Source organism: Homo sapiens, chromosome 4 (genome assembly GCF_000001405.40).
Source record: "Homo sapiens chromosome 4, GRCh38.p14 Primary Assembly".
NCBI classification, from domain to species: domain Eukaryota; kingdom Metazoa; phylum Chordata; class Mammalia; order Primates; family Hominidae; genus Homo; species Homo sapiens.
In genome coordinates this window covers 138,078,249-138,090,587 of record NC_000004.12, presented here as the reverse complement: position 1 = coordinate 138,090,587, position 12,339 = coordinate 138,078,249, and the positions used below count along the sequence as shown (strand labels likewise).

At 40.3% G+C, this 12,339-nt stretch overlaps 2 long non-coding RNA genes across 2 annotated transcripts in view; one reads left to right on the top strand and one right to left on the bottom strand.

Annotated features, from left to right (window-relative positions):
- Nucleotides 1–1,574, bottom strand: part of SLC7A11-AS1 (SLC7A11 antisense RNA 1) — an 89,164-nt gene extending 87,590 nt beyond the window's left edge. Inside the window, exon 1 of the long non-coding RNA NR_038380.1 lies at nt 1,282–1,574. This is a non-coding gene — a long non-coding RNA (SLC7A11 antisense RNA 1). The remainder of the gene's footprint in view (nt 1–1,281) is intronic.
- Nucleotides 1–12,339, top strand: part of LINC00616 (long intergenic non-protein coding RNA 616) — a 103,264-nt gene that overhangs the window by 40,098 nt on the left and 50,827 nt on the right. The gene's annotated exons all lie outside the window — the stretch shown is intronic.

Below are 12,339 nucleotides of genomic sequence, written 5' to 3'. Positions count from 1 at the left end.
TGGTGCTGTGCCATTAATGGAAGAAGAGCGAGCGTGCGTGCGTGCGTCCGTCCGTCCGTCTGTCTGTCTATCGGTCTATTTTCCCTTTGCCAAATTCTTTCCTCTTCCTTTTTTTCCCAGTTCTTTGTGAGTTAAAACTTCTGTTTTTGAAACTTCCAGGAGCTTAATTAATAAACATGAAAACCAAGTTGAAGCTGGCACAAAGCCCTTTTTTGCTCAACCACTTGGGCATGCTAGGGTAACTGTAGTTATTTACATTTGGCATCCAACTGACTCAAAGAGCAACACTGCTTTTTTCTTTCCCCCCTATGAGTACCGAAGCTATTAAATTAAACAGGTTAATGTGGCTACAGCATTTCGCCCCCTACTATCCCCCAGCTATAGTAAATCTGCCACCTGTTTATTTCCATAAAAATTCAATTACAGCACCACGAGTTATTCTTCTTATGTGAGCAATTAACTTTAGGCAGTTTCAGGCCACAGAGAAAGGCCAGGCTGGCCTGCTCCTTTCTTCTTCGCTCCCTTTAGCCGCAGGTCGTTCTTTCGCTAAGTGACTGTGCTCCTTCACACCAGTGAAAAAATGAAAAAGGAAAGAATAGACTAGACTGCTGGGCACTGTCACGCCAATGAAAAAGCAAAAAGCGAAAAACCGCAAACAATCTTCTGCCTCCCTATGCCCAAGCCTTAGAGGCCCGGGGAAGTTAGCAGCAAGCAGGCAGCCAGGACCACAGGGGCACACCGGTGTTGTTCAATAGCACACCAAAATGAAGAAGAAATTACTTGCAATGTGTTCATTTTCTTTCTTCTTTATATTTGTAAAAAATGTGACCAAGAAGGGAAAGGCTGGTAAAATGCCACAGCGTTCTGGCTAAAGCAACAACGCAATTGTGAAGAGAGAAAACTGCATTCATCCACATGTCCCAGCAAGAGCTATCACCAAAGGCATTGTGAAGCAGTTGAGCAGTTACATCTGCTCTCCTTTAACAGGAATGAGTCTTTAGTACCCGGTTGCAAATGTTGACTTTTACCTTTTCTTTAAATGTCTGCTACTCTTTGTCATATTTCTTCTCCTTCTCTCCAAATTCTACCAATAAAAGTAAAAATTACTGAATCGTACATCTAGTGATTTTCTGCATGACCTAATTGTCGAACAGGTATTGAGGTACTTGCTTTCCATCGATCCCTGTAATGCCATTGACACTGACTTATATTTCTAGTAAATGTATAAACATGGTTTTAAGAGTGGGTTAGACTCTGAAATAATCTTTGAGTAAATCTTACCCCAGGTTCAGGTTAAAACAAATACTTCTTCGTAAGTAGGTTGGTACCAGTTCCTATTGAGAGGTGACAGCTTGCTGGCAGCCCTCGCTGGCTCTGGGCGCCTCCTCGGCCTTGGCGCCCACTCTGGCCGCGCTTGAGGAACCCTTCAGCTCACCGCTGCACTGTGGGAGCCCCTTTCTGGGCTGGCCAAGGCCAGAGCCGGCTCCCTCAGCTTGCGGGGAGGTGAGGAGGGAGAGGAGCGGCGGCAACGGCGCGGCGGGAACCGAGGATGCGCGCGGCGCTTGCCAGACAGAATGAGTTCCGGGTGGGCGTGGGCTCCGCGCGGGCGGGAACCGGGGCTGCGCGCGTTGCTTGCCGGGCTGCGCGCGGTGCTTGCGGGGCTGCGCCCGGCGCTTGCAGGCCAGCACGAGTTCTAGGTGGGCGTGGGCTCGGCGGGCCTCGCACTCGGAGCAGCCGGCCGGCCAGCCCGCAAGCACCGGGCAGTGAGGGGCTTAGCAACTGGGCCAGCAGCTGCTGTGCTCTATTTCTCGCAGGGCCTTAGCTGCCTCCCTGCAGGGCAGGGCTCGGGACCTGCAGCCCACCATGCCTGAGTCTCCTCCCTGCTCTCCTCTCCCCGCTCCCCCGCCGTGGGTTCCTGCGCGGCCTGAGCCTCCCCAACGAGCGCCGCCCCCTGCTCCCGGCGCCCGGTCCTAACGACCACCCAAGGACTGAGGAGTGGGGGCAAACGGCGCGGGACTGGCAGGCAGCTCCACCTGCGGCCGGTGCGAGATCCACTGGGTGAAGCCAGCTGGGCTCCTGAATCTGGTGGGGACTTGGAGAACTTTTATGTCTAGCTAAGGGATTGTGAATGCACCACTCGGCACTCTGTATCTAGCTCAAGGTTTGTAAATGCACCAATCAGCACTCTGTGTCTAGCTCAGGGTTTGTAAATACACCAGTGGACACTCTGTATCTAGCTAATCTAGTGGGGACGTGGATAACCTTTGTGTCTAGCTCAGGGATTATAAATGCACCAATCAGCACCCTGTCAAAACGGACCAATCAGCTCTCTGTAAAACAGACCAATTGGCTCTCTGCAAAATGGACCAATCAGCAGGATGAATAAAAGCAGGCTGCCCCAGCCAGCAATGGCAACTGTACAGGGTCCCCTTCCACACTGTGGAAACTTTGTTCTTTCGCTCTTTGCAATAAATCTTGCTACTGCTCACTCTTTGGGTCTACACTGCCTTTATGAGCTGTAATACTCACCGTGAAGGTCTGCAGCTTCACTCCTGAAGCCAGCCAGACCACGAACCCACCGGGGAGTAACGAACAAGTCGAGAGTGTGCCTTAAGAGCTGTGACACTCACCGCAAAGGTCTGCAGCTTCACTCCTGAGCCAGCGAGCCCATGAACCCACCAGAAGGAAGAAACTCCGAACACATCCGAACATCAGAAGGAACAAACTCAGGACACACCGCCCTTAGGAACTTTTAACACTCACTGTGAGGGTCCGCAGCTTCATTCTTGAAGCCGGTGAGACCAAGAACCCACCAGTTCCGGACACACTATCGAAGTGTAGTTATTATCAATAAATTCAGAGAATAAGAAAAACATCAAAAGAGAAATAATTAGGGTATAAATAGATGATACAACCCAAGGGCACCTTGAACCCCTATCTAGGACAGGTGTATGGAGGGCTCAGATTACTCATCCAAATTGTCATGTGTCTGAGTTGATTCCTGAGCAACATTAGCTCAGGCAGTGTTGCTGGGCAGGCATGGATGTCAGATGTCGGCCATTCCTAAAATACTCCCAGGGGATTAAGTGAGTATATAAATATCTCCCTCCTGTGTTCCTGCATCTGAAGGTGCCCTACACCCGAGAGCATTAGTGTGCTGCTAGGATAAAAGAATGTAATAAAATGGACTTTGAAGGCACATGTCAAAGGAAAAAATACAGTCTAATTAAATTTAATCATCTTTTAAATGGTTACTCAAAAGAGAGACTCTGTTAGAAGTTCAAAAGGCCTATATAAATCCTCCCGAGGCAAGTCCATACCGAGAGCTCACATATGGCAGTTGGAAGAGTAAAGGAAAATTTAGAAAGTTTGTTTCATCTTGGTAGGGCTGATGGGACTTTAATGAAGACAGACCAGTATCACATGGCCCTGAGATCACATTCTCTGCTGTCAAATGGGTTCAAGTTCACAGTCTTGAAAATTGTCCTTTTCCTATATTCAAATGTTCTCATGAGCCCTTTTCTTTTCAGTTCAAAGTAGATGTTAAAATGAGTTTTAAGTGTTTATTCTTTATCCTAGATTTTGGGCAGATGCCTAATTTCCATAGCTTCCTTACCTCCTGAAGAGTTTCAGGCTTTTTGCTTCTGCCAAAATGTAGCAAACCTACAGCTTGGTACTTTGAAGTTTGAGTTAAAGCAAAACTAAATGGACCATGTTTATCTGATCAATTAAGGCATTGCCTACATCCTCAGTACTGATGTTTCTCATTTAAGCAGCGTTCTATACAATCCTCAGGAAATTAACAACAGAAATAGAGTTTGGGGAAAGGGGGGTCATTATACAAAGAAATGTAGGAAGAGTGTGGAAGAATTTGACTAGGCTCCAATACAAACTGCATAAACTGGTCTCCAGTGTAAACTGAAGAATGTCTTTGTAGAAGTGGGACTGTAGAAAAATATTTTTTAAAGTTCCAAAAATAGAAGTTTGATTTAAAACGCCTATTAGGTAAAGTGATCTACTAGATTTAATAGTCTTTAACATGATTGATGTTTTTAATTAAAAATACCTCATCTTTCTCTCAGGGATTAGCATGTGTACAATTCAGTTTAACTACAGTTCAACAGGGAGAATTCTATAAACAGTACCATGCTAAGCAGAGTATTCAATTTAAAAAAATAAAATGAGCATAAATTAAAATTCTTCTAGGAGTTTACAATTTCTTTTTCTTGAGACCAAACCGAACAACACCAATTGATTAGTATGAGAGTGAATGATAGGTAATTGAACCCTCTGGCTGTTCCCAGTCAACGTTCTGTTCTACTATTCCCAATAATAGCTGGAGATACACTTGTTTGGCTTCCATTCCAGCTAGCTCAGGACCTGTGTACACAGCCCTTTCTATAGAAAGACAGGAAATCCTCTTTTCTCAGAATTCCTACTAGATTCCTTAGTCCTTGTTTTGAGCGAATCACATCGTCCAACTGGCACCAACAGATTAACTTGAAACTTTGTAAAGAAAATGATGTGCTTTTTGATATCTGGCAGATTCTATGGAGATTGCCTTCCAAATTCAAAGATTTGTCTCCGAAATTGTGCCTTGGCAAGAAAACGAATGTACAATCTTCACACATAGGGTGTGTTTCACTTCAATTTTAATACTATAGAGGCAAAAAAACAGCTTTCTCCAAGTTCCAAGTTTTATGTCCATAGTCTCTTCAACTATAAATGGGAAAAAATAGCAAAGATAAAGCTATTAATCTGTCTGACCCATATTCCCCTAAAAAGTTGCTTTTTCTTTCTAATTTGGTTTTCTATATTTCTTTTATGATTTACTTCTATAATTATTTTTATGATTTTTCTGATTTATTTTATGCATCTGTTTCTTCCCCAAAGACATATGATGTCTGTCCAGTTATTTAAATTGCGATAACTTTTAAACTTGATTTATTAAATATATGGTGGAGATAATTGTAGAGATTTTGTGGAAGCCTGTACGAGAAAAAAGTTTTCCTGGGGAAAACTGTTTCAACATGGTACATGTCTTGATAAAGATCTGTGTTGATTTAATGGAAAACTTATTTCCCAATGTATTTATAAGTAAAATTTTGTATGATTAAATGGCAGCCGATGGGGGAAACTTGGGGAAATAAATCACTTTTCCTTAGAAAAAGATTCATTTATATTTTAACCCCTGAGACAGTGTTACTGATGATATTATAGTTAGATCATTATTTACCATTTCAGATTTACACTAAATATCTCGATTTATCTAACGTGGATGAAAGTGTTCTTGGGCCTACTTATATCTCTTAAGTAGACTAATGAGATGACAATTTTGAAAAGGGTAAGAAAGTGTAAGGAGTATTTTTATTCTATTATGTTCAAGTTGTTTTTGGTTTCTTTCTTTTTTTTAAGAATATTTCAAAACTGCTTTGGCTGTATTGAAGGTGGAAATGAGGATTTTTCTCTTAACAACAGATAATTGGTACAATGTGATCTATTTCATGTTTGGAATGATATGGGTTTTGTACTTAAAGTTGCTGGGTTGACAAGAGCTGTGTGGAAAGGAGAAAATAAAAAGGGACAAAATCAGTGACGGTAGAGAGATAGAATCATGAAAGGGGCTACTGAGGATATCACCCTGTTTAACCTTTTGTGCATTGCTTATTGCTTCTACATAATTAAACTACGATAAGCTTAGGCAATACGTATTGGGTTTGAACTTTCAAACCACAGTGAGGCTATTTTTTAACCTGACAGTTAATTTTTCATCTCAATAATGACAGAAAAATTATCAAAATTTTGTAGATATTAAGCCTATCATTGGTTGGAACATTTCAACTGCTTCATGTAGAGCAGTTGATTTAAAAATTTGTAATTAATTAAATAACTGAAGGACTTGGACCTTTAGTTATCTGTTTACTGGAGATTTATAAAGATATATAAACCCCTCATCAGCCTCTTTTCTCTCCTCAGAAAGAGTATATTTTATCCCAGGTTTATACAAGTATCTCTGAATCTGAACTCAAATTTTCAAGCATTTCATCTAAATGTTGTGCGTTTTCTCTTTGACAAATTATAAGTATGGGCATCTCCAGTTATGCTGCATGTTAATTGTATTAGTTTTAGGCTACCAAACCTGCTCCAATATCGACTCGCACTCTATTACTCTATTTATCAACTTAAGACAAGAACACTTGATGACCCTCTTTGGCTTACAGTGGACTCTGTGGGTCAGAATGTTTTGTTGGTTATTTCCCAAGAACGCTATATGAACTCCTGGCTACACATTAACAAGAACCACTAAAAAAGTTAGGTCGGTGGAAATTCTCTCAGGACTAATTGAATAACGTTTTTGAGATTTTTGACTTCACTTTGTTTTAAATTATATTTAAGACATCGATCTTCTAACCTCATTTTTTTGTTGTTTTTTTTTTGTGTGTTTTTTGAGACGGAGTCTCACTCTGTCGCCAGGCTGGAGTGCAGTGGCGCGATCTCCGGTCACTGCAACCTCCGCCCCCCGGGTTCAAGAGATTCTCCTGCTTCAGCCTCCTGAGTAGCCGAGGCTACAGGCATGTGTCACTACGCCCAGCTAATTTTTGTATTTTTAGTAGAGACGGGGTTTCACCATGCTGGCCAGGATGGTCTCGATCTCTTGACCTCAGCCTCAGCCTCCCAAAGTGCTGGGATTACAGGCGTGAGCCACCACATTTGGTCTTCCTCACATTTTTGAGAGAAGACTGACAGACCACCCCTTGTATAAAATATGGTGTAACTGGCTACATTTCCACAATTTCTTTTTTCTGTTATTGTGTGTTTTTTTGCATTGGTCAACCTTGAGGCAAGATTCAGTGTTAGTTTCACTCCCAACTACTACTATCCTTTTCTTTTCACTCTGTAAGTCACTAGTGAGAGTGACTTACAGAGATTTAACTAAATGAGAGTGACTTATAGATTTAACTAAAATGGAGGCTTTATTAAGTTCCCAAATTTTATTCATAAAATTGTGCTTAGACCTTTTTCTCCAAATTATTTCCTCTGTTTCTCAAAATATCCCTCATCCTTTTGAGAAGGCAGCTTTTGTGTGAGAAGAAAAAATAATTGTTTTTCCAACTGCAAATAAATTTTATGTATCATATTATGCTAATTTGTAGTTTCACTTGACTTGAATGGACAATTCCTAATGCTGTTCAGCTACTGTCAGCAGTAATGCCTTAAGGTGAGTCAATCAAGAATTAACATTATTGTATTTGATACTGTTCTCTAAAACAGGTCAATTCATTTGGTTACTTTGGGACACATTATGTAGATAATTAATCCTAGCAGATACTCCAGTAAGCCTCTTGTTTTATATGATTTCATGAATGAGAATTTTCCATGGTTATTGTAAGCAATAGTAAACCTTTCTTGAAAATTTTCAAGCTAAACAAACTAGAAAAAAGCTTCTCAAACTATCTGTGGTGAAGGACTGTGTCTTCTTCTTATTATTATTTGCTTAACAGTCACAGACCAACATTTTTGTAAAATGCATTTTTCATGCGCTTGGATGGCATGACAATATCAAATTGTCATATAAATTTCTTGGTGCTTATTCTCAATTTCTGTACCTATCTTGCTGTGGATTGGTAGCAGTTTGCAGACCACCACCAGTCCACGGGCCACATTTTGAATGGCTTTGATGGAGGTTATTGTCTCTGGTAGAACTTCGGAGAATTGATTAACAGATTGTTCTTATATTTAGCAAAGTTAAAATTTATTTAAGAAAGATTCATTTCTCACTGAAGGAAATCTTTTGTTGAAGTGAAAAATTTCTCTATTCAGGATGGAATTTTGGTTAAGCTTGTGGGTTTTTACAAAAGGATGGCCACATCATCATTTAGTAATTTAATCTGCCATTTCTTATCCCATAGATAATCCAGTGCCTTGCCAGAGAATATAAACTTGGAATCCTACTTCTGTCAAAAGTTTACATGGAAGACATTATCATATCTTTTAGATGTCTTCTAGGTATTCCAGGTTTTGCTTTAGATTTGATTTGCTCATTTGTTTTTGGCTTGGACTGAATCAGATTATTAAATATCTGATTATGTAAATCATAGTGCCTTGGCTTCTGACAGAATCATTTAATTGAGAAAATTATAAATTGTTCCCATGTATTTAGAGACGCTATAAAAATATTAATATCAAGCCCAAATACTACATTTCCTTCAGGAAAACTAGGCCCTGGTTACTTAGATGTGAGCAAACTAGGCATTTTACTTGCTTTCAAAGAACATAGAGTCTAGTAGGGGAGACAGGTATATAGTCATGTAATAAAAAAATGTAAATGTATAATTATGTTAAGTGCTCATCTTAGTCCATTTGGGCTCTTATTGAGACAGCCAAGTAAAAGGAGCTCCTCAGAGAATCTCCAGCTGGTCTGAGCATGGGGAGGAGGGTGGGGCCTCGGGAAGTTCATGCCATTTGCAGCAGGGAAGGATCCTGGCCCCTCCTGTTCCTGGGTGGTTACTGGGGATTCAATCTGTGAGATGAAGGCCTGTAACAGAAACCCCTGTCTCACTTTGCTGTGTTGTTTTTCCTTTTTCCTTTTTGCCCAGTAAATCCCCCTCCTCACCCTTCAAATTGTCTGTGAGCCTAATCTTTCCTGGTCATGTGATAGGGGCCCAGATTTTCCTACAGCATTATGACAAAGATATCATACATTGAGTGATTTATGAGCAATAGATATTTATCCCTTATAGTTCTGGAGGCTGGGAAGTCTAAGATCAAAGGTCCAGTGTGGTTGGGTTCTGGTAAGGGCACTCTTCTGCCTCATACGTGGAAGAGGAAAACAAGCTCTCTGGGGTTTCTTTTGTAAAAGCACTAATCCCATTAATGAGAGATCTGCACTTGTGACCTAATCACTTCCTGGAGGTCCCACATCTTAATACTATCACATTGGGTTTCAATATGTGAATTTTGAAGGGACACAAACATTCAGAATATAGCAGTACTTATATATACTTATATCAATTATATATTAATATCAACATTATATGTAAATAATTTAGAAACATTATTATAGAAGTATATTTAATTGTTGGAATTATTCAGCCCGAAGGGATGATTCTGTCTTCCATTTTCTGTTTTATGTTACCAGGTAATGATAGCATCTCACAGTTCAGTTTAAGGAAGCAATACAGAGACATGCAAATCATCCCTAAGACATGAGTACTCCATGTGAGGGTGTTGTGAGGGCCTAAGAAGAAAGACAATCATTTGGGACAACGTTCTGAGAAGGGAGATGGTTGCTGCCCTCGTGGATTTAACAGACTTGGTTATGTGGCTAGTTTTCTTTTTCTTCTTCCATACCTGAACTGTGGTACTCAAGAGAATCATCTGAAGCTTGTGTTGGACAGGACAGGCAATAACTTCAAACTGAATAATGAGGCCCAAGATGGACAGTCCCTCGTTGAGGGTCAGAGCCAGCACCCTTGTAGACTGTGACTACTAGGCCAACTCCTAGAGCTAGAGTTCCATATGGACAAGGACAAGCTCTAGCTAGATCAGAGCAATTTCATCACAAAGCAAGTTTTATTTTCAATCATCGCTGCAGACCACAAAGGTCAGGCTAAATATCGACAGATCTCTATTGTGGGAAAATTTGGACTTTTGGCTTATTATCAGTACTCAACCTTGATAGGCAGCACCAGATTAACTGCTAAAGATTCTATGCATCTTTATCTCATTAGCCTTTTACATTTTATCCTGTTTCTTAGCCTCGGCTGGGGGACGGGTACAGTCAACTCCCACTGGAGCAACAACATAAAAGGTGGGAAGGAAAATGTTTATGTTGACACCAGGGTAGTGAAAGCTATCCAAGCTATGGGGAATTTAATGCTGAGGAAAGGCAAGATCAGGGTGGAGCATCCGGCTGGGGTAGCTGCCTTTCACTGGACCCCTACCAGCCCAGTTTGGGACATGCAAGGGGAACAGCACATAGATAAAGCTTTCTCAAGGTTTATGAAAGAACAGACGGCAGCACAGCTAACCTCCAGTGCAAATAAAAATCATACATTTAAGGAAACTTTAATTCCTGCCTGGTTAAAACCAAAATATATGCTATAATGGTTGATGATAAAAATTTTAAGGAGAGTAAAAGTAGGTTCGTAAATATTCTCTAGTCAATGACCACAAATCTGTTAGAGAATTTCCCAGAAAAAGCAAAGGCCTTCTTTCAGATTTAATTCCTATGGATTCTGAAATTTTTCCTTATAGATTTGTGTTCTTATTGCTTTTACCAAGAAGAGCAGACACTCTCCTCCCATGTTCAGCTGTAAGCCACAGTGATTCTGGTTTTCCCTCCTAAAATACAACCTTTTAACTAGAAGCAATGATTGCAAGACTTATAAAACAGATGTGTTAGAAAATTGTATTTGGTCACAAATTTATAGAGTATATTTGTCACTGGTAATTGAATTTTCTCAGTAACCTTGTGATAATTAACTCATGGGCTATGACCTCATAGTTTTGTCTTTTTTACTCCACCAATATAAAAAGTGTAAATTTTCTTGCTAGTCAGAAAAATATTCAGACCTTAGGTCTGTTTTTCTTTTTTTCTACTGACCATGTAAGAAAATAAATATGATGGTCTGTGGCAGAGATTGTGACTGTCTAACAATATGCAATCTTCTTTTCTCCTTAGTAATAGAATTTAAACTTTATTTAATGAAGCAATTTGCCTAGCTAGGTAGGAATTATTTGTGTTTTCAAAACATTATTAAGGATCAGGGACTACTGTATACTAATATGTCTCTTGACATACAAGAAACTTGCACTGGATTCATTCAACTTTCTAAGTGTTTAAAGAGTTAACATTTATTTCAGTGGATTGTGTATATTTATAGGCCTCATAATGACAGATTAAAGGCACTGATTTGCCCTGAGTTCTGAATGAAATCTGTGGAGCTGAACTAAGCTTAAAATATATGTGTGTGTGTATATGTGTATGTGTATGTATATATATATATATAGAGAGAGAGAGAGACAGAGAATATTGGACTTTAATATTTTTACTACTTTACAAGGAGACAGTATTTTTATTTGGTATTTTAATTTCTGTGTGGTAAAATGATAATGGAAGAATGTTCATTATGTTCAAATTTAAGAAAAATGTTCCATCCTAGTATTTGGAATATGATGGCCTCTTGTGTGCCTGAGGCATCTGTGATTTTTGGCCTGCTGGATATCCATTCACTAATAAAAGTACTCCTGTTTTGCTTTATTGAGCCATCTTTCTCCAATTCTCATGTGATGGGGAGGAGTTGACTCTACCTCGTAACTCCAGGGCTGAGAGGATACCCAGCCTGTAGGGTCACAGGGATTATTGTTTCTGGGATAGGCATGTGATATAAGCCTCCAGGTCTTCCCTCTGATGGGATTAGTAAGGTAGAAGGAGGTACAAATCACAACAACGTTGATTCTCTTTTTAATGGCATGGGAAAGCCTGCCTGAGAATTAAGCCAACACAAAGGGTAGCAGAACGAAGAGATGGAACACAACCAACTCCTGATATCATACTTTGAAGCAGATGTCTGAAGCTGCTGCCACATCTGGATTTTTTAATTTATGTGAAACAATAAATTCCTTTCTTTGCATAAACCTAGTTTGGGATGGTGTTCTGTTACTTATAACAGAAAGAGTCTGACTAACATGTGGTGCTCACTCTATACCCCTCTCTTGTGAATCATGTAGCTGGGCATAAATGGAGAGTCAAAGTAGAATAGGGAGAGAACGTAATCTAGTATTAAATGTGTTTTAATGGTGGATGTCTGTTCTGACCTATTTCAGAGACTTAGTGGGCAAAAACTTAATTTTCTACTTCACTGGGCTTAGGGGACTACAAAAAGAGATTTTCTCCTAAGAGAGACACCAGTTCCCTGGTTGAACCTTAAATTACCCATCACGGGATATAGATTAAAATAGAATAAGAAATGAGCAGGCACAAGGGAGAGAAGAAAATGTTAGGCTGCCTTCAGGCCATGCTTCCCTCTGCCAATACCATTCTTAGCCCTTCCAAGGAAGCAAGAGGTACCAGTTTTGATTAGTCAGTGTGCAGAGCAGCTAACAAGGCCACACTGACTTGTGGGTGGAGTTACTGTTCAATAAAACTGTACACATCCATGCAGGCTTCTTATCTCTCTTTCACTTCTTGGATCCGTGCAGCTGGATGGGTCAAGTGAGTGAAGGGTTTTCTTGGGACATGGTAATTTCTTCTGCTCTGCTTCTCTTTCTTTGTCCCTCTCCTCCTCATTCTTTCTCAGGCATGCATTAATGTGCTATTCTCAAGACTTCAGATTC